Raw genomic sequence first — 26,219 nt, 5'->3', positions numbered from 1 at the left:
ATATGGAAAGATCTCCAAAATATATGACAAGCCTAAGGGGCAGAACAGTGCAGTGATGAGCTAGACTTTAGAGATGGATGCAAGTGGTAGTTAAGGATAGGGACTCTGGAGCCAGACTGCTTGGGTTCACATCCCGGTGCTGTGAGACTTTTTTGTTTTTGTTTTTGTTTTTTTTTGTTCGTTTGTTTGATTTTAGGGTTTTTTTGTTTGTTTTGTTTTATTTTGAACAGGGTTTCACTCCTGTCGCCTAGGATGGAGGGCAATGGTGTGATCTCAGCTCACTGCAGCCTCTGCTTCCTGGGCTCAGGCGATTCTCCTTCCTCAGCCTCCCAAGTAGCTGGGACTACAGGTGTGCACCACTGCGCCTGGCTAATTTTTGTATTTTTTCTAGAGATGGGATTTCGCCATGTTGCCCAGGCTGTTCTCAAACTCCTGAGCTCAAGCAGTTTGCCTGCCTCAGCCTCCCAGAGTGCTGAGATCACAGGTCTGAGCCACCACACCCAGCCTGCTGTGGGACTTTGGGCAAGTCACTTAATCTCTCTGAGCCTCAGTTTCCACATTTGTAAAAATGGGAGATATATTAATCCCAACCTCCTAGGGCTGTTGAGGGAATTAAATAAGTGAATAAGTCATTCTGGCCAACCTCAGACACTGACATGCTCCAGTGCCGGGGAGACCTAGGTGAGGAGGCCTGGGTGCCTGTCTCCATCTTGCCACCAGCCCCTGGGGCCCTGGCTTAGTCACTTAGTCTCTCTGAGATGCCTTACCTAGTCTAAAGAGCATCTGTCTACCTCCCAGGCATTTGGGGGATAAAACAATAGAGATGAAGTTACTTTGAAAGATGATTAAATCCTTTAAAAAAAAAACTGCTCATTTGAATTGCTTCCCTCTATTTTAGGCAAAACTATTGAGCACGTTCTATGAGTCAAATATTTTATATATGCATATGTCATTTAACGCTTGGTGTTAGTCAGATTGAGCCAAATGTTAGTACAAGTAACGCCCAGGTTTCGGAGGCTGAACACAGTCAGGTGTGTTTCTCATTCATATCTGACTCCGTTGCAACTCAGGGACTTGGCAGAGGCCAAAGATGATGCCAGGATGCCTCCTTTCACTCATGTCTTTAGGGCCTCACTATCCTCCACTGGATTCTCCGTGGGAGGCTCGGGGACAGGCCTGGAACTGGCGAACGTCATTTCCACCCACAATCCATTAGCCAGCACCCGGTCCCAGGAGGCCACTTGACTGCGGGGGAGGCTGGGAATCATAGGCTTAGCTGTGTGCCCATAAATGCAGACTGCCAGGGAACCCTCCCTTACAACGACTCATGTTACTGATGGAGAACCAGGCACAGAGGCAAAGTGATTTCCCCGGGGCCACACATGGAGTAAGCGACAGAGCCAGGGTTTGTCCCCTCCCTCTTTTTCATTGTATCCTGTTCCTCTTTCATGTCTTTCTGCTCTGAAGATGCTAGAGTGTTTTTAAAATGTTCTTTAGTTCCTGCATTGTCTCCTTTCCTCAGAATTTCTTTCCTATGTATGCATGTGTAGGCTCACTGAGCAATGATCTGTTTCACTGGGGTCCTCCAAATATCAGTATTTCTAGGCAGAGCTGACCGTATCATTTGTGAGACTCAATACAAAATAGAAATGCAAGACCCTTGTTCAAAAAACAGAAAGAAGCTTTTCCTTCCTTTCTGAGTTTTCTCTCTCCCCTCATTCTTCTCTCGTCCTGGAAAAATGTTTTTTATTTGCTATTTAATGTTTCTCTTCCTTAGCCACAGGGGACACTCATGGGACAAGTGCAGACCCTCACAGGCACCCGGAGTCCTGCCTCACAACTTGATGCATGGGGACTGCATGGCCCTCCCTGCGCCCAGGCCTCTGACAGGAGTGGAGGGTTGCAGCAGTCACTGGGTGGCCAAGAACTCATTTCATGGCGGTGGCTGAGGCAGTGGGAGGCAGGACCACATGTGAGCTGAGGGTCCGGGCCGCCAGCATGTGCTCCATTCTCCCATTGGGCTTAACTTATAAAACTCAAATTCAAAGATAAAGATACAGTCATGCCTCACTTAACATCAGGGATATGTCCGAGAAATACGACATTAGGTGATTTTGTCATTACGGGAACATCATAGAGTGCACTTACACAAACCTAGATGGTAGAGTCTACTCCACACCTAGGCTGTATGGTATAGCCTATTGCTCCTAGGCTACAAACCTGTACAGCATGGTACTCTACTGAATACTGTAGGCAATTGGAACACATGGTATTTGTGTATCTAAACATAGACAAGGTACAGTAAAAATATGGCATAAAAGATTAAAAAGATGGGGCCAGGCACGGTGGCTCATGCTTGTAACCCTGACACTTTGGGAGGTGGAAGTGGGAGGATTGCTTGAGCCCAGGAGTTGGAGACCAGCCTGGGCAACATAGGGAGACCACGTTTCTACAAAAGCACACAAAAAGTTAGCCAAGTGTGGTGGCACACGCCTGTAGTCCCAGCTACTCAGGAGGCTGAGGTGGGAGGATTGCTTGAGCCGGAGAGGTGGAGGCTGTAGTGAGCTGTGATGATACCACTGCACTCCAGCCTGGGCGACAGAGCAAGCCCTGTCTAAAAAAAGAAAAAAAAAAGATAAAAAATGATACACCTTCATAGAACACTTACCATCAATGGAGCTTGCAGGACTGGAAGTTGCTCTGAGTGAGTGAGTGAGTGGTCAGTGAATGTGAAGGCCCAGGACATGACTGTGCACTACTGTAGGCTTTATAAACACATATCCTTAGGCTGCACTAAATTTATTTAAAAAATGCTCTCTCTTCAAAATAAATTAACCTTAGCTTACTGTAGCTCTACTTCATAAACTTGTACATTTTAAAAACTTTTTGACTATTTTGTAATAACACTTAGCTTAAAACACAAACACTGTACAACTGTACAAAAAAATTCTTGTCTATAAGCTCTTTCCTATTTTTAAACATTTTTACTTTTTTAAAAAACTTTCTAAACGTTTTTGTTAAAAAGTAAGACACAAACACCCATATCATTCTAGGCCTACATGGAGTCAGGATCATCAATATCACTGTCTTTTACATCTTTTCCCACTGGAAAGTCTTCAGGGACAGTAACACGCCGGGACTGTCATCTCCTATGATAAGTATGCCTCTTTCTGGAATACCCCCTGAAGGGCCTGCCTGAGGCTGTTTAACAGTTAACTTTTTTTTTTTAAATATAAATAGAAGGTATACACTCTAAAATAATAAGAAGTGGCTGGGCACGGTGGCTCACGCCTGTAATCCCAGCATTTTGGGAGGCTGAGGCAGGCGGATCACCTGAGATCAGGAGTTTGAGACCAGCTGGCCAACATGGTGAACTCCATCTCTACTAAAAATACAAAAATTAGCTGGACATGGTGGTGGGTGCCTGTAATCCCAGCTACTCGGGAGGCTGAGGCAGGAGAATCGCTTGAACCTGGGAGGTGGAGGTTGCAGTGAGCCAAGACCGTGCCATTGCACTCCAGCCTGGGCAACAAGAGTGAAACTCCATCTCAAAAATAATAATAATAAATAAATAAATAAAATAAAATAATAAGAAGTATGGCATACTAAACATATAAATGAGTAACGTTTATTATTGTCAGGTGTTGTGCTAGGCTTTTATATGAATGGCAATGCAGTAGGTTGGTTTACACCAGTATTACCACAAATGTGAGTAATGCATTGTACTATTACTTTAGGACAGCCACAAGGTCACTAGGCCATAGGAATTTTTCACCTCTCTTGTAATCTTATGGAACCACTATTGTATATGTGGTTTGTCATTGACCAAAATGTCCTTAGGTGGCAATGCCTGTATTAAAGTCAAGGCAGCAACCATGTTGGGCGAGGTGTAATCCCAGCAGTTTGGGAGGCCGAGGCAAGTGGATCACTTGAGGCCAGGAGTTCAAGACCAGCCTGGCCAACATGGTGAAACCCCGCCTCTACTAAAAAAAAAAAAAAAATTAGCCAGGCATGGTGGCGCACGCCTGTAATCCCAGCTACTGGGGAGGCTGAGGCACAAGAATCACTTGAACCTGGGAGGTGGAGTTTGCAGTGGGCCAAGATCACACCACTGCACTCCAGCCTGGGCGACAGAGCAAGACTCTGTCTCAAAAAAAGAAAAAAAAAAAGCAGCCACACAGCATTAGACCACTGGAATGGGACCTCCTTCTCAGCATTGCGCTGATGGCCTGTCCACGAATCCAGCCCTCTTGTGGGTCATTTCTCTGGGAGCCTTTCTGTTTTCCTGGAGAAGGTGTCTCCATCCTCCTGCCTGTGGTGTCCTCAGAGCTGGATGCAGACGGGCTCCTTTAGAGCCTCAGCACTCAGACCCTTGCCTGGTCCCCCTGTGCCTGTGACCATGTCTGGGCTGTTGTGATTTAGCTTCTCTGGAGAATAAACCTCCATCACCTGGATGGGGACTTTGGGCCTCCCTACTTTGTGCACAGGGACATTTTCAACGTCTCTCCCTGATCTCTGGCCATGCCGCCTGCACCTTCCTGGTGTCTGGAGCTCTAGTTGGGCTGAGCCCACTCACTCCCACTGAGCATGTGGGGTGTCCTTCCACCCTCTGCAGCATTGCCAACCGCTCATCTCTTCATCAGCTCACCACCTTTCAAAGATGTGTGACATCTTCTGCCTGCTGTCACGTCCCCTTCCTCCCCGAGAGGGTTTTCAGCTGGTTTATTCCTTTGCTGTTCTTTTCTCGAGGATTTGGGAAGAAAAGGAGATGACACTGTGCATTGGCTTCACCGTGCCTTACCAGAAGTCAACTTAAGTCTAGGTATACTTCTGTTTTAGAAGATGATATTCCTTCATTAAGCACGTATTGAGCACCTACTGTGTTCCAGGCCCTGGGGGGATGGAATGTGCTAGGAGATAGTGCTGAAAAGCCAGTTCCTGCCTGTGAGTGGCCTGACTGTGAATCCAGAGGTGGGAGGATGCAGAAGGTTACGACTGGGGTGGAGGGTGTGGGGTGTCAGGAGTCTGTGTACAGGGCCTGGGGTCGCACCAGGGACAGAGCCCAGACTTGAGGGTGCACTTCAGGAAGGTGCTTACTGAGCAAAGAGGGGACGATCAGCCTTTTATGTTTTTTTTTGTTGTTGTTGTTGTTTTTAAATAACCTCTTTGCTGTTAGGCCCTCACTTAACCTTTGTGCTAGCAGTGATTCTGCTTTTGGCTTTTCACTCATCAGTCCCCTCTGTTCCCCAATTATTATTTTTTAAACATCGACTGCTTCTAATCTGCCTGGGTCTGGAATAGCAGACAATCAAGTGTGTTGGAAATGTGTCTAAAATAAGAGTTAATTAGGCTGTGAAGTAAGGTTTGAGGGACTCAGCTGTGAGAAAAATGCATAAACTTTAATGTATCAATTTTATAACTTCTATTTTTACTACCCAGTAGCCTTCTTAACTTCTGCAGCTTAATTTATGTTCCAGATGACCAACATTGCCATATACATGAAGCATAACAACCATTCTATTATAAAACTTTAACATCAGCTGCTGGCTGTATCTTCCTTCTAGCCGCATAGCCTTCTTTCTCCATTAAAAAAATATACTGGCCTTTGGTTTGCCCATGGTGTCCTTTTTTTTTCTTTTTTGGAGACAGGTTCTCACGCTGTCATCCAAGCTGGCGTGCTGTGGCACAATCATGGTTCACTGCAGCCTCTACCTCCTGGGCACAAGTGTTCCTCCCACCTCAGCCCACTGAATAGCTGGGTCTGCAGGCACATTCCACCACGCCCTGCTAATTTTTAAGATTTTTTGTAGAGATGGGGTCTCCCTTTGTTGCCCAGGGTGGACTGATCCTGGGCTCAGCAATCCTCCTGCTTTGGCCTCCTAAAGTGTTGGGACTACAGGTGTGAGCCACTGTGCCTGGCCCCCCGACAGTGTAAATTTTTATTTGCCATGTTTCCTTGATTTGAAAAGGCCTGGGCTGGGCATGGTGGCTCACACCTGTAATCTCAGCACCTTGGGAGGCCGAGGTGGGCAGATCACGAGGTCAGGAGTTCAAGACCAGCCTTACCAACATGGTGAAACCCCGTCTCTACTAAAAATACAAAAATTAGCTGGGCATGGTGGTGCGCGCCTGTAATCCCAGCTACTCAGGAGGCTGAGGCGGGAGAATCGCTTGAACCCGGGAGACAGAGGTTGCAGTGAAAAAAAAAAAAGGCCTACTTTATCACATCTGTAAAATGAAATGAGTCTTTTAATTGATGGGGGTCTTGGTATTACAGTCATAGTTTTCTTTCGTATGCGGCACATGATAGTATATCTTAGGATCAGTGGTGTCTTAGATTCAATGCAATACAGTATTTAGGTCATTTGAAGGGATTGACAAGTTACTCCGTTTCTCCAGCCTGTCTCTGTGCTGGAAAGAGACAGCCTCATCAGCATTTGAAAGGAACTTTTTCTCCCTACAGCCTTCTTATGATAACAACAGGCATAATGTCAGCAACAGTAAGCACTTATAAGCACATGCTATTGTGCTGACATTGCTCTGAGAGCTTCCCATTCACCCCTTAAACGACTCTGTGTCAGAGGCATGGCTATCATGCCCATTCCACAGATGAGGAAACTGAGGCTCAGAGGTAGAAGTGGCACAGCAGGGAATCCAGGCTATCTCTGAAAAAATTATATTATGCTGTCACTAGTGATTCTGGGAGACAATTGAAGTATCTTCATTTAAATTAGAGGTTTCTACCTGCTTATGACTTAGAGTCAACTAGGGAGCTTTAGGAAAATGCTGAAAAAATTCTCCAAGGAATTCTAAAGTGCAGACATAGTTGAGAATTCCTGGCTTAATTGATGCGCAAGGTCCCCTAGCTCTGCCATTCTGGGACCTCTCTGGCCCTTACTCTCTGATGTCACCCCCCCCAGGATAGGACAGCTGCCCAGCCTGGGCTGGCAAGGATAGCCCGAGCTTCTTTCGGGCTTTCGGAGCTGGATCCCTTGGTTAGAAAACATGGGTTGGAAGCCTTAAACCGATATATGCTTTTAATTTTTGTTCTTTATTTTCTTTTCCTTTATCTCTCTTCCAGCTCTGGAGTGCACAGAAAATCAAGCAGGTAATCCAGTTTTGGATTCTCTATTTCCTTCTCCGTGTTGTCCTGGACTCCACCCTGCCCTGTCCCAGGGATCTAGTGGAAGCCCCCCTCCGGTGGCTCTTCGGGCTCTCACATTTGCCCTTGGCCCCCTCACCCCTTCCTTCTGCCCCGACACTCAAGGGCCAGAGTCTCTGAAGTCTGGAGCTCAGGCCAGGCTGGCCTTTCCCTGGGTTCTCTGAGCTCCCAGAAGAGACAGGGCTCTGTCCACAAAATCCTTATTATGTACCTACCATGTGCCAGGAATGGGGGTAGAGGGCCTGCAAGGTAGACACGATCCCGTTCCCCATGGACTTTTGCTCTCCACTGCATTCAGCTTTTAGGGTAAGTCAGGAGGAGTGGTGCTATCTGTTTATGGCCCATGGTTTGGTATTCTTTTGCCTTGAGTGGTGGAAAGGCCTAACTGGCCACAAGGCAACATACAGCCACTGGTATCTGAATCTTCCCAGAGAAGTTGTCTTCTTCCCTTCTTCCTCCCCTAATGCCTCTGCTTTTCTCCCTCCTCCCTCCCCCTTCCCCCTTCCCCCTCCCTACACCCCCGTCCCCACCCCATTCTCTGTTCCTGCTTTTGCCAGGCTATTCTACATCCGGACACCAATGAGAAGATCTTCATGCCATTTAGAATGTCAGGTAAGCTCCTGGGGCCCTTCTGGTTCTGGTCAGCCTGGGGTGCTTACTCCAGTCACAGTTCCAGGAGCATCCAGATGTGCTGGCCTAAGGAGGGGACAGAGCCTGTTACAATCATGGCCATATTTGCACCTCTACATTCACCTCAGCTCAACTGTACAAGGCGCTGGCCAGGCCTCAGAATACTCTATGGAGCTTACCTGCCTTTTCTGCCTGAGCAGTTGGGGTGGAACCAGGGCTTCCACAGGTGAATCTGGTAGCCCCCACCACCACCCACTCCACATCACTCAGCGCACACTAGGACAGCCTCAGTGATGCCTGCTGTAAGCAAGCCCTGGCTTCTGCAAGTCATTCCCCCTCTCACCGGTGTGTGACCTGCTGTTTCCTTCCAAGTCCTGCTCCCTGCCCTGCCCCTTTTAGGCAGTCAGTCTCCAGCCTAATTCTCTGTTCTCTGATCCTGCCATTAGCCCTCCCTTCAGAATGGATGCACTGTTGTTGCACTGCTGTGCACATACAGAAGGTGGGATTCCTGTTCTGTGGAGACCAGGAGGCAGAGGGTGATACAAGATCCCTGCCCCAGGAAATCCCACTGGTCACTGAAGGGGCAGCTGTGCCTATGTGGGCTTTAGGGCTTAGAAAGCACTGGCATGTACACGAGCTAGGCTGGCATGCTTATCCCCCCAGCAGTTGTGAGAGACTCTGCAGAGTCACACTCATGGGTGTGCTGACGCCTCCTTCTTGCCATTTCTCAGTGCAATGGGGCACAGCCACCTTGAATTATGAGGGTGGAATGGGAGGGCACTGCTGCTGCTGCCTTGGGAAGGCCTCGGGTGGCTGGAGAAAGGCGGTCTCAGTCAAATGGGTCCCTCAGGGTCGCCACCCCCAGAGAGCCTGGCCTCACTGAGGGCAAGAAAATAAACAACCAGGAAGTTGATGGACATGTGATGTCATTGTGTAAACTGGGGCAGTGAGTGCCCTGTGACCCCCTGGCTTTGCCGTGAAGAACTTTAAGGCTCTGAGCATTTTTCTTTCTTTTTATTTGAGACAGAGTCTCCCTCTTTTGCCCAGGCTGGAGTGCAGTAGCATGATCTCTGCTCATTGCAACCTCCACCTCCCAGATTCAAGCGATTCTCCTGCCTCAGCCTCCCGAGTAGCTGGGACTGCAGGCACACACTACCACACCTGGCTAATTTTTGTATTTTTTAGTAGAGATGGGGTTTCATCATGTTGGCCAGGCTGGTCTAGAACTCCTGACCTCAAGTGATCCGCCTGCTTTGGCCTCCCAAAGTGCTGGGAAGGGCTCTGAGCATCTTACAGTTGTGGTTGTAGATGCTTCCCAGTCCCTGCACCCGGCACAGCAGGCTCTCACCCTGAGCCTGGCTTCTCTTGTAATTCTTGACCTTTTTGAGTCATGCATTCCTCTGAGGCCCTGATCAAACTCTGGTTCTCTCCCCAGAGAGAAGTGGGTATGAGAACCATGGCTCACGTGTGTGTGTGATTATGTGCACTCAGGAGCAAAGCTTTACTTTAGATGCAAGTCAGATAAGCCCGATCCCGCTGTCCAGCCACTGCTCACTGGCTGCCACGGTTAGAGGTTGGGGACAGGAGGCTGTCCACTGACAGCAGTTGGGGCTGTGGAGAGAGCCTCGCCTGGGGGCTGAGAGCAGCGAGGAGGCTGTACTCACAGCCTGGCTGCGCTTCACCCCAGCTCCCTACTGCGCCACTGGGGATGCCACGGATTTAAGAAGCTCTGGCACTTAGAGGTGCATGGCTCAGTTTGGGAGGGAATTTTCTTTCCAGAAATGGCCATGATGCCGGGGAAGTAAGGGCCTGTGTTAGAAAGACAAGCTGAGGCAAGAAGGAAGACATTCTGGGGTCCTTGGAGGATGTTCAGCCTCATGTAGTGAGCGTGGGCAGGGTGTGTCGTGCCTCGCAGGAAATCGTAGGAGGATCACCAAGTGTGGAGTGGTGGTGCCCCAGGTCGCAGGCAGCCCTGCCTGCAGGAACAGGCCTCTGGGTTCCAGGGGAGAGTGAAAGCTGCCTGGCCAAAGGGGAGCAGAGAAGAGGAGGCTGGGGACACAGCCCCGGTGAGGGCTGAACTGGGAAAGGGTCTATGAGATAGGAGATGCCTCCCGCCTAACTGACCTGAGCCCCTTCATCAGGGCCACTGATAGCCTAAGACCTAACCCGGAGGCTCCTGGGTATCTCAGGTGAGATGTGAGTGGATTATAAGGCCTGACTCTTTTCTTCTCGTTCACAGGTTATATTCCTTTTGGGACGCCAATTGTAAGTGTTACCTTCAAAGGATTTCCTTTTCTAAAAAATTATTTTAAATGTCTAACTTTATGTTATTGCTCACGGGTATTTGACTGAATTGTTGATTTAGGATAAGTCAATTCCTGGAGGGAAATTACCAAATAAAATGATATGTATTTCTTACCACATCTCTTGATGCTGATTGGCAAACCTCTTTTCATAAAAAGCCTGATGACTTAAATCCAGCGTTGAGTTGAAAATTGCCTTCTTCCCTGCACGTTTTCTGTCCCCACTGTTGTCATTAGCACCTGCTAGTCATAGGGAAGTTTTCTCAAAGAACTTGGGAAGTAGGAGTAGAAGCATGCCTTCTGAAAAATCAAAGTTTAAAATTAATTCAGAAAGAATTTTCAGCATTCTTTTTGTTCAGTTTTAGAATCAGGATTATGTTTACTCCTTATTTTTATTGGAATAAAACATACAGAAAGGTGCATTCATCATAAATGTACAGCTTGGTAAATTTTCAAAAAGCAAGCATATCCAGGGCTGGGCGCGGTGGCTCACGCCTGTAATCCCAGCACTTTGGGAGGCCAAGGCAGGCAGATCATGAGGTCAGAAGATCGAGACCATCCTGGCCAACACAGTGAAACCCCGTCTCTACTAAAAATACAAAAAATTAGCTGAGAGTGGTGGCGGGCACCTGTAGTCCCAGCTACTCGGAAGGCTGAGGCAGGAGAATGACATGAACCCGGGAGGCGGAGCTTTCAGTGAGCCGAGATCGCGCCAGTGCACTCCAGGCTGGGCAACAGAGCGAGACTCGGTCTCAAAAAAAAAAAAAAAGAAAAAAAAAAAAGAAAAGCAAGCATATCCAGTAAACATCACTTAGGTAAGGAATCAGTATAACACCCTCCCAACTGAGCTACTTCGGCCAGCTCACTTAGATAAAGATTCAGAGCATCATTAGCATCTCAGAAACCTCACATGTGTCCTTCCCAATCACCACCCCGACAGAAAATCACTTTTCTGACTTTTATATTTTAGTTTTGCTTGTTATTGAACTTGATATAAATGTAATCATCAACATGTGCTCTTTTGTGTCTGGCTTCTTTTACTCCACATTGTGAGATTTGTTCATATTGTTATCTGTAACATTCGTTTGTTCTTTTCTGTTTGCTGTATAATATTCCATTGTCATAAATTATCAGAATTTCTTTATTCATACTACTGTTGGTGAACATTTGGGTTTTTCTAGTTTTGGGTTTACAACAAATAGTGCTGTTTTGAACATACTTGTACAAGTCTTTTAGTGGATATATGCCCTCATTCCTCTTGGATATAGACCTAGGAAGCTAAATTAAAACAGGTAACAACTATAATAAATGCAATGTGTGATCTGAGAATGGATCCTGGGTTGCAGCAGGTGGTGTGTAAACTGTATTGCAGTTTCTTATAAAGCTGAAGATGCACTTACTATATGACCACATAACACTATTTTAGGTATTTATCCAAGATAAATGAATATGTTTGTTTACACAAAGATCTGTATGTGAATGTTTATAGTAGCATTTTTCACATTAGTCTAAAACTGGAAGCAGACAAGAATGACCAACAGATGTTAAAACTATTGGGTAAAAAACTAATTGAGAACAGAATATTTGCATAGTCTCAAATTTTCCTATGGATATCATAGATACTATTCCTTCTATGTTAATTAGTTGGCATCCTCTCGAGTTTCCCTTCTGCCTCTTTCTTTAATGTTTTCTTAAAACTATCAGTATTTAGATACTGTTAATACAGTCTTTGTGGTTTTTTTTATTCAGTGGGTAAAAATGTACTCTTGTCATTATTTATTTTGATATGCAAATGGGGCCACTTTTGACCCAACCTTAAAGCAGTTTCTCTATTTGACATGCCCCGCTAGTCTTTGAGAGCTTCAGTACTCTCTGACACAACAGGATATTCTAGGTTCATCTTTTCTCTTTCTCTTTTTTTTTTCTTTTCCTTTCTCCTTTCCTTTTCTTCCTTTTCTGTTTTCCTTCCTTCCTTCCTTTTTCTTTCTTTTTTCTTTTATTTTGTCTCACTGTCACCCAGGCTGGAGTGCAGTGGCAGGATCATGGCTCACTGGAGCCTCAAACTCCTGGGCTCAAGTGATCCTCTTGCCTCAGCCTCCCGAGTAGCTAGGGCTACAGACATGTGCCACAATGCCCAGCTAACTTCTCAAAAATTTTTTTATAGAGATAGAGTCTCATTATGTTGCCCAGGCTTGTCTTGAACTCCTAACTGAAAGCAGTCTTCCCACCTCAGCCTCCTAAAGTGCTGAGATTACAGTAGATTTGTCTGTACAGTACTCTCTTCACCCCCATCCTAGAATAATTGATTTCTCCAAGGAGCCCTATTTCCTTTTAGAGGGAAATGATACTTAGAAACCAAGATCTTGATGCTGGGTGTACTCATGGTTACTGGAGTGGCATTGCTTCTAGGTACTCTTGGGGGACAGAGCTAGGAGATACAACTTGTAAAAATTCATGAGTTTATACTGATACCTGTAATTCCCATCAAACATCTCGATGTTCATTTGTTCTCCCGTTTCATATTTGAATGTCCCTTCTCCCTGAATGAGACTCCAACAGTATATGTACTCACTTGCTAAATCTTATACATACAAATAAGAGTTTTCAGAATTGCTACATCAATACCACTCTCAAAATACGTAGTAACTAAAGCCCAAGATTTCTTTGAAGTTCTTTTTGTCCTTAGAAAGTATCCTATTGAGAGTACACAGAGAACCATGTTCAAAAGTTTCTTGAATTAATTTTTTTCTTATGTGTTTATGTTATCTACTTGATACACAGTTAGGTTTAACTGATTTCTGTTGGCATTCCATTTTAGTTGTTTCTCCATTCTTATTAATTTACTTTTTTTGATATTTAGGAGAGGGGAATAGTTTAAAAGTCAAAGCTATTAAAAAGATACACTCATAAAAGTTCCACTCCGCTTCCTATCCCTGCTACCTCCTTCTCACCCATCCTCTGAGGTAAACAACTTCTCCTTCTTATTTTTTTTGTAAGAATAAACAGATACAAATATCTGCTTTCCCCCTTTTTTCTTATATAAAATGTAGTATACTATATACCGATGTGTCTGACGTACGATGGTTCAATTTACAATTATTTGACTTTATCATATGTGACAGCAGTATACATTCACTGAAAACAATACTTGCAGTTTTGAATTTTGATCCTTTCCTAGGCTAGAGAAATGTGATATGATACTTTCACCATGCTGGGCAGTGCAGCTCCCAGTCAGCCATGTGATCACGGGGGTAAACAACCCATACTACAATGTACTCTGTTGCCAGTGTTTTTTTGAATATTGCCTTCTATGTTCCGCATCCCATCATGTCAACAAAATGCCCATTTTCAACTTACGATATGTTCAATTTATGATGGGTTTATCAGGCGTAACCACATCATAAGTTGAGAAGCATCCGTACACCCTTTTGCACAATGTTTTTTTCGCTCAGTATATCTGTTTTTTGTGGTTTCATTGTTTGTTTGTTTGTTTGTTTTAGACAGAGTCTCACTCTGTCTCCCAGGCTGGAGCGCAGTGGCATGATCTCTGCTCACTGCAGCCTCGGATGCCAGGTTCAAGCGATTCTCCTGCCTCAGCCTTCTGAATAGCTGGGATTACAGGCATGCACCTCCACACCTGGCTAATTTTTGTGTTTTTAGTAGAGATGGGGTTTCGCCATGTTGGCCAGGCTAGTCTTGAACTCCTGGCCTCAAGTGATCCACTCGCCTCAGCCTCCCAAAGTGTTGGGATTACAGGTGTGAGCCACTGCCCCAGCTCTTCCACTTGATATATCTTGAAAATCACTGTATATCGATTTATAGAGATCTTCCTCATTATTACTTTTTTACAGCTATATAGTATTCTACTAAGTGGAAGTACCATGATTTATTTAGATAATTTCTTACATTAGATTATTTGTAATACTTTGCCATCATGAATAATGCCAAAATGGTAATCTTGTGATATTGTTGGAATATATCTTCAGGGTAAATTCCTAGGTTCTATAGAAGGACTAATTAAATAGACATTTCTAGAAAGATTGATCAAGACAAAAGAGAGAAGATACAAATAAACAGCATTAGCAATAAGAAGTACAATAATTATAGATGCAGTAGCAGAATAAAAGATCAGAATGCATTGAACAACTCAAGGCAATACATTTAAAGACTTAGAAGAAATGAATACATTTCTGGGAAAATACAGCTTACCAAAACTGCCTAGAAAGACGAAATATAGAGTCTTTTTTTTTTTTTTCTTTTTTGGAGACAAGGTATCACTCTGTCTCCCAGGCTGGAGTGCAGTGATGCGATCATGGCCCACTGCAGCCTCAAATTCCTGGGATCAAGTGATCCCTCCTGCCTCAGCCTCCCAAAGTGTTGGGATTACAGGCATGAGCCATCACACCTGGCCTTAAAATCTGAATAGACCTATAAATAAAAGGAAATTTAATTTGCAGTTTAAAATATTTGCACCAAAGAACAAACAAACCCAAAATTATCACTGGGCTCTGATCTTCCAGGTGACTGTTCCCAAAGGAAGAGCTGAACTTAATTTTATAAAGCTTTCAAAAGCAAAAAAAGTGCCAGGCATAGTGGTTCATGCCTCTTATCCCAGCACTTTGAGAGGCCAAGGCAGGGGAATCGCTTGAGCCCAGGAGTTTGAGACCAGCCTGGGCAACATAGCAAGACCTTGTCTCTATTGAAAAAAAACAAAAAAGAGAGAGGAAAAAAAGGAAATCTTCCCAGTTCATTTATGAGGCACTTTGAGACCAATACCAAAGTAAGTATAAGAAAGAAAAAGTATAAGCCAATATCACTTATGAAATTACATGTAAAAATTATGAAATAAAATAATAGCAATCTGATTCCAGCAATGCATCAAAGTACATCATAACGAAATGCTTTTTACCAAATATGATAACATTAGAGAATGTATTAATATTAGTTGATCACACTGAGAAACTGAAGGAGAAACATGATTTCCCCAGTAAATACAGAAAAAGTATTTGATAAAATAAAACATAACTCAATTTACGGTAATTATTATGATAAAAACAACAGATTAGGTCTAGAAGGAACTTTCTTAACTTGATAGTGTCTATAAAAAATGATTTAAACCAACCATAGCAAGCACCTGTCTTAAAGATGAAACAAAGGTAAATTCTTAATGTGTTGGACAGGGTAAGAATGACTGATAATGTTGCTTCTATCTAACATTTTCCTGGAAGACTAGCAAGTGCAGTAAGACATGAAAAAATAAACAATGGTATTAGAGTTGGAAAGAAAGAAAGAAAAACATTTATGAGAATAGACAAACTATTGGAACTATTTTAAAAGATTTCTGGATGTAAGACAAGTATACAAAAAAATTTTGTATGCCTATAAACCTAAAACAAACATCTAGAATATGATTTTTATAAAAGATGTCATTTACAATAGTATTTTAGACAATAAGGGATATAAAAATAAATTCAAGAAACAATATTCAAGACCTTAATAGAGAAACATATACAACTTTATTGAAGGACATTGGAGATCTAAATAAGTGGAGAGCTGTATCATTTTGTTTTCTTCAAATTAAAATCTATATTCAATGTAATTTCAGTCATAATCTCATCAGGATTTGTTATGGAACTTGACAGGTTGCTATGAAAAGTTACATGAATACAAGCTAGGGGATAAGAATAGTGAAGACAATTTTCAAGAATAAGGTGGTGGGAGAGGACTCACCCTACCAAATATTATAAGACAACTTGGTTTTGGTACAGTGATAAGCAAATATGTCAGTGGAACAGAACAGAGAACCTGGAGACATGCCCATATGGAAATTTAAGATTTGACTAAGGTGGCATTACAAATCAGTGGAGAAAAAGGACAAACCATCTAATAGTATTATATGGTGCTGGGACAGCTGGCTACCTATGTGGAAAAGAAAGAAAGTCAGATCTCTACATCACCTTATATGCAAAAGGACATTTAAATATGAAAAGAAAATATTTGCAGCAATGTTTATGATAGCAAAAAATTGGAAACCGCTGAAATTCCATCAACAAGAAAATGAATCAGTCATGGCTTAGTCACGCAGTGGAATACTTAACACAGGAAAGAAAACAATGAGCAAGGGCGACATTTATGAATATGGATAAATCTCAAAAACAATGTTGAATGAAAAAATAGTAGCAGAGTAGTAATGCTCTCTGTCATTTATATAATGTTAAAAAATATGCAAAGCAATATTATATATAGTTTATGAGTACATTTTTAATGCATCCTTAAAAACATCCATGGGAACAATAAGCACCGGCTTCGTGATACTGTTTACCTCTGGGGAGAGAAAGCAATGAAATTTAGCAGGAGAACAGGGGGTGCTTCATTTGTATTTATAGTGTTTCATCTTTTAAAAACATCTTCACAAAAAAATTGACGAAATAAGATTGGACATATATGGATGCTCGTTATCCTCTAGACTTTTCTGTATCCTTGAAATATTTCATTTTATACATATATTTAAAAATATATAAATATATCGAGAGAGGTATTATTCACATCTCTATTTTTATGTCGTTGCCCTGAAACTACTACATTGTTCTGAAATATTCTGAGAAAGGTTTATAAATTTCCCACCATAATTGTGTGTATGTGCAAGTGTGTGTTTCATTTCTTTGCATTTCTTGCGGTTGTCTTATAGATTTCAATGCAATGGTGTTTGGTGTGTTCAGACAGTTTTGTCTTCTTGATATCATCTCTATCTCTCAAACACACACACACACACACACACACACACACACACACACGAAATATCCCTGTTTCATTGATTATTCTTGCCTTGAATTTTCTCTTAATTTTTTTATTCCTGTTTTGCTTAAATGACTTGCATTATATATCATTGCCTGTACCTTTATGTCAGAGTCATTTAATTTCTGTGCCATTTTGTATTACACATCTCTTTTGGACAAAATATAGCTGAATTCTACTTTTGCTGCATAAAAAGGCTACTTACATTTAACTCAGTTTGAGAAACACTGCCTTTAATTTTAATGAGAAATGGAACCCATTCGTATTTATTCTGCCACTGATGGTTATGACTGCATATCCCAGCTGTCAAATGGGTTTTCTTGTGGCTGTTAGCTTTTTATTAAGCTTTGTTATTGTTTCCACTTCTTCTCCTGATTTATACTAGAGGATAAGTCCTTTAGTTTCTTTAGTTTGGAAGGGGAGCATCCTAATTTTCTCTACTTACCATTCATCTGTCATATTTTATAGTACAGAGAGGTTGCATTATATATACTTTATAATCAAGAGTCAAATAATAAATATGACTTACCTAACGCTACCCACATAGGAGGAGACCTGTAGCATGTAATTTCACTCTACTCTCTACTTGATCATTTTACCTCCCTCCACACACCTGCCAAGTTTTTGGAAATCATCTGGAATTTCATCAGATTTATAAAGCCTTTCTTAACACCTGTATTATACTTAACAATTATTTAGGCTGTGTGTGTGTGTGTGTGTGTGTGTGTGTGTGTGTGTGTGTGTGTGTGTGTGTGTTGTTTGGCTAGAATACCCTTTAGAACAATATTCAGAATATAGGGGTAATATGCCTTTCTGAATCTTTGCATATCTGGAGATCTTTTTTTCTCTTTCATACATGAACAATAGTTGGCCTGATTTTCTTTTCCTTTCTAGGTAAACTTCCCCCTTCCCCTGGAATCGTTTGATATTTTTTCTCTTTATCTTTGGAGTTCAGAAATATCTCCTAGGATTTAAAAAAAAATCTTCTCTGTATATTTTATAAAATTATACAAGTAATACATGAATATGTTCTTTGGGATTCAAAAATACCACCAAGAATGTTTTATAAAGAATATTTTAAAAGTTATACAAGTAATACATGAATGTTCTCTCAGCTCAGAATTTAAACAATACAACCAAAAGTAGAGGTCCTTGTGATGCTCCTCAACCCCGAATCTCTGCCCAGAGTAACCCCTGTAAGAAGTTTGGTGTGTGCCTCTAGGCTTTTTCTAGATATCTGCATACATTTAAGTCATTTAAAGTGTTTTTTTGTTTTGTGGAGTTTTCCATTAAAATATAACAATATACTTATTTATCTATGGTTAGCTTATGACACTTAGCAGTTTGCCTCCATAACAATTGGCTTCATTTATTTATTTGTTTGTTTTCTCTGCTGAATGGCACCCTCTCCTCCAGTGTGATGGGTTGAGGTTATGTCCGATTATTTGCTATTAGAAACGATTGTGCTGTGAAAAATCTTTGTAAAGCCATTTTTGCACAAGGATAAGGGTTTCTCAAGGGCACTTCCAGAAAGTGAATTTGCTGCATAAAAAGCTACACACATTTACATCTTTAACAGATATGGCTGAATTTCCCTTCAAAAAGACTATATTTCTCCATGCTTTTGTAACACTAGTATTCATTCATCTTTTTAACGTTTTTGCCAATCTGATGGGAGAAGGGGTAGATTCTCATTATACTTTAAATTTTTGTTTCCATAAACACCAAAAAGATGTTGGTGCTTTTTAAATCTATTTATTGGTGATTTGTATTCCCCCTTCTCTGAATTACCTGTTCACACTCTTTGTCCATTCTTCCATGGGCCATATTTTTCTAGTTGATTTGTAAGAGCTCTTTATGTATTTTGGACATTAATCCTTTGGATTATATATATGGCACGTCTCTTCTCCAGCTGTTTCTCCCTTATTCTCTGGTGTCTTTGTTATAGAAAAGTTTTAAATATTGATGTCTTTAAATATAATGATCTCTCTTTTGATTGATTTGAGTCTTTTTCCACTCCACACCTCCATCTCCTTTATTAAAATAACTGAGGCCAGGAGTGGTGGCTCACACGTGTAATCCCAGTACTTTGGGAGGCCAAGGTGGGAGGATTGCTTGAGCCCAGGAGTTTGAGACCAGTCTGGGCAACATAGGGAGATCCCATCTCTACAAAAAAGTTTAAAAATTAGCCAGGCATGGTGGTGTGCGCCTGTGGTCTCAGTTACTCAGGAGGCTGAGGTGGGAGGATTACTTGAGCTGAGGAGTTTGAGGCTTCAGTGAGTTTTGATTGTGCCACTGCACAATTGATTGATTTGTGAAAGCTATGTCGTGGAATCAGCTCTTGGATGTATTTATCAATTCTGTATTCTAATTATTCTTTTATGCTTTTGTTTTTATAATATCCTTTTTCCCTCCTTTCTTTGTTTGTGGTTGGTTTTCTTACTTTTTGCCTTGAATGCTTAGTTTATTTATTTTCCTTCTAATGAAAGTGTTTAGTGCTGTGAATTTGCCTCTGAATATATCTAAAACATGGCTATATCTGATATGTTTTCATATATAGTGATCTTATGTTGTTATTTTCTAAATAAGCTTGGAATTATAATTTCAAATCCTCTTTAGTCAATTAGAAGAACACATTTTAAATTCTAAGTGGTTGGGTTTTAAAAAATGTGTTCTTTTGTTATGTTCTAGCTTATCTTATTTTCAGAGAAAGTGACCTCTACAATTTTGCCAAATTTTGCCATTTGGGATTTATTGTGGTTTTCTTTGTAGCATGGTATCTGAATATGTCAGTTAGGATCAGGGTCATCTGCATGTAACAAAGTCCAAAATAACAGTGGCTTAAACAAAATAGTTTATTTCTCTCTTATGTCAAAGAAGTTTGGAGATAAGGAGGACCCCCACAATATCATCAGGAACCCAGACTTCCATTTTTCTACACCACCATTTTCAGTACTGGCTTCTATTGTAAAAAGTCACCCCATAGCCCGAGATGGCTGCTGGAGTTCCAGCCATCACATTCACATTCCAGAGAGGAGAAAGAAAAGAAGAATAGTAGGCTATATCTCCCAACCGAAATACATTTATCTTTAAGATACAGCCTCTCTTTAAGGAGCCTTTTGGGAATTTCCATGCAACATTCCATGTTCTGCATATATTTCATTCAGAATTTAGCTGGGTATATACATTTCATTTAGAATTTAGCTGGGTATATAGTTGATCCCCAATTATATAAGGATTCTATTAGTAAGAAAGAAGGGAAGAATGGTGATAGGCAAACAAGAATGCCATAATAACTTTTATAAATATTCCATCAACACTTTAAAAGATATACAATTTGGTGGTATCATCACTTTGTTAAACTGGGTAACTGGGTATTTGAAATGGCAAAAGTTGAATGTGGGGCTCATTTTTCCCTGAGAAGCCAAATGGACCCTTACACAATTATCAGCTGCCATCAAGTGGGAAGAACTGGCCAACCCAGCAGATGCCAGCACTGTCTTCCATTCACAAGGAGTTACTGAGGCTCACCCCATACGTTTCCACTCTCTCCTTACCCTACCCTAGACAAGCCCATCATTGCAGGGTCACTATGGCCCTGTAGGCAGGTGGGAGACTTGGATGCTGATCCACTCCCCTGCCATTCAGGGGTTCATTGCTGAAGCAGATGCTGTGAATGTCCTAACAGGACCGATCCTTTCCCAGCCTGGAGCAAGCATCCTTCTGTGAATAAACGCATGTGGTGTAAGAAGAGGATGCCCTGGCCCCCAAGATCCTGTGTGAATACTTGATGGAGGCGAAATGGGGAGCATGGCCTGGGATACCTCCCAGCAGCTCTACGAGGCAGCCAGAACTGAAATGACAATGCTCACCTATCCCCACTTCCTAGCCCCAGATATCTGTATCCTGAGGTTCAGAACAGTCAAGCCAGAGGCTGAGTCTCCAGAGGAACCACTGGATTTGAAGAACCTGGGCCTCCCACCTTGGCACTTTCACATGGACAAGCAACATGGTCCGTCACCACTCCTCCCCACCCCTGGGCCACTGCCTCGTCTTGTGTGGAAAGAGCATGCTGGCTGCTCCAGTGCTTCCTGCAGCCCCATCAGCTTCTCCAAGGCCCTGCTGTCGCCTGGTAGCACTGAACATTTAAGCAAATGCCTGGTCTGAAGGGGAGTGAAGGTTCCAGTCCACACCTTAGGAAAGCCCCTGGTCTGATGGAGTGGGTAAGAAAATATACGCATGCAGAAGCCACTAAAAATGCTTACCAAAATAGAAACGAGGGTGCCAGCGAATGTGCTAGGAACTGGGTCCCTGAGTGATGAAGGGAAGGGGCGAGTAAGGCTGGCAGGTGCCTCAACTGAGAAGCTTCTGGAAACCACAGTCAAGCTGCCTTCTGCCCAGGTGCACATCCCCAGCTTGACCCCTACGCTGTTTCCACTTTGCCCGGGAGTCACCTCGCCCTACCCTGCTCGCCCCCCAGAGCTCAGGAGAAACGAGCTGGTTTTCTCCCAGAGGCTGGTGCCAGTTTAGTCAGCAGATTTCACAGATCCACTGGCAACCATGTAGTGTCTTATTTTAAGCTTAACATTTGAAGATGGGAACTTTTTCCCCCTTCGGTGTGTGGCAAAGAGATCCCAATTTATACATAAGCACCGCGGCTATGCCGGTGCACTGAGGCTGTCCCTGAGGCTCTGCGGTTCGTCACTCCCTTTCTTCAGGTATCTTTCCAGAAAAAACCCGCCAGCGTGGTTGCTTCTTATACACGGCCTCTCCCTTCCCAGGTTTCCCCTAAGCACAGCACTGCCGCTTCCATGCACGTGGCCTGGGAGAGGCAGGGCCCGGCTTGGCCCTGGTGGTCCGGCCCTCGTCCTGCCTGCCCTCTCCATTTCTCCTCTGCTCCTGCGCCCTCTTCCCTTGGCTGCTGCGGAATGCCTCGGATGCCAGGGCCTGGGTTTCCCTCATGGGCCTGGGGCTCTCCCAGAGAGCATTTGTGCCTCTCTCAGCCCTGAGCTCCCCACAGCACTGCTTCCCTCCCCTCTCCTTCTCCCCGCTCCATGTCATGTCGAACTCTCAAAACTTAGGGACCAAATGCCTCATTTCCAGCCCAGGGTGCTAAGGAGGGCAGACCATGAACACCTAGTTATTGGGTCTGGTGGCCTTAGGTTAAGTCTAAATCCGATTTCTGTCTTGAGACATTAAGAACTTGGACTCTGTACTTTGCACTCCTTCATTTTAACACACAGGTGATCACATGGGCTTAGAGACTCTAAGTATCAGAAGATGCTGGTGTCGGCCACTTCATCTCCAGGGGTGTTTCCCAGGGCCCTCCTGACATCTCCCAAGCCGCCTCATCCCTCCTCTGCTTTTTTGCACATTTAAATCCCAATCCCAATGTTCTCCCTGGCCTTCCTCCAGCATTACCAGACCCCAGCCATGTTGACCTAGCTCACCACACAGGAGGTGTCGCTCCAGTGAAGCTAGAATTGACCGGTCTGGGGTAAACATTCATTTGACAGAGATTTTCTTTAACTGGCTGACATCCTTTAAGTAGCAACACCCCTTATACACTGAAGTGTAACTTTCAGATCATTAGCCACATAAATCAGAAGATGGAGACACAGTAGAAGGAAAAAACAGGACAATTGTTGTGTGTTGGGGTACTGCGGCCCATGGTGGATGACAAAGAGGAACATTTTGGAGTTGAGCGAGTCAGTGTGGCGGAAGGGGATGAGATGTAAAGACACTTGCTCTACCTGGGAGGCTCCCGGGTATGTGGGGAGGCAGCGTGGAGGGGCCTCATTTCTCTGAAGCTTATAGAAGCTCTCGAGGAAGATAAACTTTCCACAGCTTTTTGCTGATGAGGTGAATGGTACAGAGAAGGCATGCAGGGTGCCGGAGAGCGCGTGACAGACCTAACCTCACTGTGAGGGTCAGAGGAGACATCCTGGAGGAAGTGACGCCTAAACTGAAACCTGAAGGATGAGGAGGGAGGGATTAGCCAAGCAGAAATGGGGTGAAGGGTGAGAGGGATGATTATTTCCATTATCTTGGCGAACAAGACAGTTCGCCCTAGTCTTCCCCTGGCTTCAGTTTTACCACCCAATTGTTTTGACGCATACCCCATTTCCTCTCCAGGTTTCCCACGCTTTTAAAAAAACCTTTCTCCTGTAGTTTGAGTCAGTTTTGTATGGGAGGTGGCCAAGGGGGTGGGGGCTTGCTCAGTTCTGAGTCCTGATATCATCGTACACAGAACTGTGGCAGTGGCCTTACCCCTCCTGCCTTTATCTTCAGCTGTTCATGTTCCACTTCTGGCCAAGCAGACTGAGATATTTGGGGGTGCCTCTCTCCCAGATTGAGACCTCATCTCTCTGCAGCAGTTAGAATACTCTGAAGGAGGAGGCCCAAAGTGAAGATGTGATTTTTCTTGTAGCAAGTTACCATATGGGTGCCATTGGCCCCATTCCTTACTCTGTCTTGAGACTAGGCTCAAGCACAAACTGCCCCTCTTCCTGGGCCTGTCAGGGCAGCCCTAGAGATGGGCTGATGGCCCCTGGATTGGGTGGGTTTGATAAGCAGGGCTGCTTAGGAGCCAGCATCCCTGGTGAAGACTTAATTCAAGGCATATTCATAATGGTACAGAATTTTGGACTAGAAAGAACAGCATAGTCACTCCGCATATGTAGTAAGCTGTGTATTAGCTAGCTATTGCTACCATAGTGTTGTGTAGAAAACATCCACAACACTTCAGTGGCATACGTGAGCATTTTTTTTTTTTTTGAGATAATCTCGCTCTTTGGGCTCTGTCGCCCAGGCTGGAGTGCAGTGGTGTGATCTCGGCTCACTGCAACCTCCTTCTCCTGGGTTTAAGCAGTTCGTGTGCCTCAGCCTCCCAAGTAGCTGGGATTATAGTCACCTGCCACCACCCTCAGCTAGTTTTTGCATTTTTACTAGAGATGGGGTTTCGCCACGTTGGCCAGGCTGGTCTCGAACTCCTGACCTCAGGTGATCCGCCTGCCTTGGCTTCCCAAAGTGCTGGGATTGCAGGCGTGAGCCACCGTGCCTGTAAGCATTCATTCTTAGGGATCTGCGGTTGGCTGGGGTTTGCCCGGTCTAGACAAAGCTTGACTGAGGCAGTTCTGCATCTCACTATGGTCAACTGAGGGTGACCTGACCTGGGATGGACTGTACCCTCCTGTCTCTCCTGTCTGTCCTCCTCCTTGGACCAGGGATTTGTCAGGGATGTCTTCTCGTGGCAACCTCAGATGCTCAGCAGGGCAAGCAGGAAGGCATGAGGCCTCTGAGCCAGGGCTCAGAACTGACACGCTGCCACGTCCTCCCACGTGCTGTCAGTCAGAGCAAGTTAGATGACCAAGCAGAGCCAAAAAGTGAGGAAATAAATTCCTTCTGTGATGAGGCCGTGGCAAGGGTATGGGTGCAGGGAGTGGGAAATAATCTGGACCAAAGACTCAATCTCCCACCCCCACCCCCTGCAATTAGGACTTAATAAAAGGAGTCAGGAGTGCATTGTCCCAGTCCAGCAGAGATCTTTCCCTGGCCAATAATTATCTAATAATTAGGAGTGTTATTCCACCCTGGGGTGTGGGCCCAGCTTTGTGCTGAATGCCATGGCGGGGGCATCAGAAGAAGAGGGAAAAGCCCCAATTTTGCCTTCCAGAGCTCTGTTCTCTGAGGGATAAGACTTGTGTTCCCGAGATGGAGATGAGACGATGTTCAGTGGTGTAATGCTGACTATGGAGCTCAGAGAAAGAAACCAGCAAAGGCCAGGAAAGAACTACATGGGAGGAGAAGAATGGCACTGGCAACCGGCATCCAGGGAGCGCTTGCTGCAGGCTGCATGCTGAGGCGAATTTCCTCCACACCTTACTTCCTCTCATAACCATCCTGAGAGGTACTGGGATTGTCCTTCACTTAACAGGTGAAGAAACAGAGGCACAAAGAGCTCCAGTGACTTGCCTGTGGTCACATAGCTGGTAAATGCTGGCACCAGCATTTGACAACCAGAGCCTGAGCGTTAATCACTAGGTCCATGGTAGGACACCCAAAATGAAGGGGAGCAGCAAAGGTACAGACGGATGTGCAGAGAGCACAGCTGCCAGGGGGCTGGAGCGGCAGAGGGGACTTCAGCCATGTTATGAACTATAAATGGGAGCAGAGATAGGATGTGTGATTTGGCCAAGGTCCTGCAGCGCGATAGGGTGGAGGCTGGGCTAGAAATCATAGCTGTTGGCTCCTGTTTCCCTCTCCTTCCACTTTCCTTGGTACCAGCCACATTCTGGGCGCTCTCCACCCGTCTGCGTGGCCACGCCTGAATCGTTTCCCTCTTGGAAGAGGTGCAATCCACTGGCATTGAAGCTGGGTGGACTGGCTCCCTCTCTCTATCCATCTCTTTCTTCCTTTCCCCTGCCATGTTCTGGAAAGGGCAGCGGGAGGGAATGTGGGCAGGTTGCACCAGAGATATACATCTGAGAGCTGAAGGGAACATTTATTTTTAATTTAGACTTAAAAAGAAAAAAGGAAGTTATAAAATATCTGCTCTTGCTCCTGGGATTGTGCAGATGGTGCTGCGTTTTGCCTAATAGGGAATTGGGCTGGCATCCTCGTGCTTTTGGTCCCCGCCTGACTGTAAGGACCTGGAGGGCAGGATCCCTGCTTCCCTGCCTCAGCCTCACATGGCCCCCTAAGGCTCCATTTGGCCGATGCAGCTCGGTGTTCCTGTCTTCTAACCTCACCCTCTCCACACTCCCTCTGGTCTCCCAGACCTCCTCTGCAGTCAGACCAGTCTCTCTGCTGTCTCGGCTGTCCCTGCTCCTGTGTCGGCGCCCCCTCGGCTCACTCCTACCTCCGCCTTCGTTAGATAGCCGGGACACACTCACCCCTCCCTTCCTAAACTCCTGTTTGGATGTTAAAATTTATCAACTTTACACATAACCAAATACCTCATTAAACCATCTTGTCATTTTCAAGCCTCGGTGTTATAAAGGATGTCATCCTCCATTTTCTTGTCTGGTTTTTGTTTTTATTGTGGTTAAGGAGTGTGTGTGTGTGTGTGTGTGTGTGTGTGTGTGTGTGCGCGCGCACTCATTCCTCTCCTCTGGCTTTCTCCATTGGGAGCAGCAAGGAACTTGGTACGTAGAAGCAGCTCCTCATAAATGGATGCAGAGTGCTGATTGGATCTCCCCTCTCTCTGCGCTCAAGGGGATGAGCTGGAGAAGGAGTACCCTAAAATCAGAGTCCGGGCCCCCAAGCCAGGAACCAGGAGACCTGATTCTCTAGCTTGCTATGAAGCTATGGACAGATTACTGAATTTC

The 26,219-nt window shown here is 44.3% G+C and overlaps 1 protein-coding gene and 1 long non-coding RNA gene across 22 annotated transcripts in view; both read left to right on the top strand.

The window, feature by feature from the left end:
- Positions 1 to 26,219, top strand: part of SFXN5 (sideroflexin 5) — a 129,677-nt gene that overhangs the window by 41,417 nt on the left and 62,041 nt on the right. For all 21 annotated transcript variants that reach the window (NR_138476.2, NM_001371739.1, NM_001371738.1 and 18 more), the window contains 3 exons: positions 7,082 to 7,108; positions 7,720 to 7,774; positions 10,032 to 10,057. Coding sequence is in view for 18 of the 21 variants with exons in the window: in NM_001371739.1 (NP_001358668.1) it covers positions 7,082 to 7,108; positions 7,720 to 7,774; positions 10,032 to 10,057 (108 nt within the window). In the remaining 3 variants the exon portion in view is untranslated. The remainder of the gene's footprint in view (positions 1 to 7,081; positions 7,109 to 7,719; positions 7,775 to 10,031; positions 10,058 to 26,219) is intronic.
- LOC107985897 (uncharacterized) lies at positions 10,064 to 25,905 on the top strand. The gene is made up of 2 exons (XR_001739535.2): positions 10,064 to 21,113; positions 24,566 to 25,905. It is a non-coding gene; the product is annotated as an uncharacterized LOC107985897 (long non-coding RNA).

The sequence above is a fragment of the Homo sapiens genome, chromosome 2 (assembly GCF_000001405.40).
Source record: "Homo sapiens chromosome 2, GRCh38.p14 Primary Assembly".
NCBI lineage: Eukaryota > Metazoa > Chordata > Mammalia > Primates > Hominidae > Homo > Homo sapiens.
This window is presented reverse-complemented; position numbering and strand designations above follow the sequence as displayed.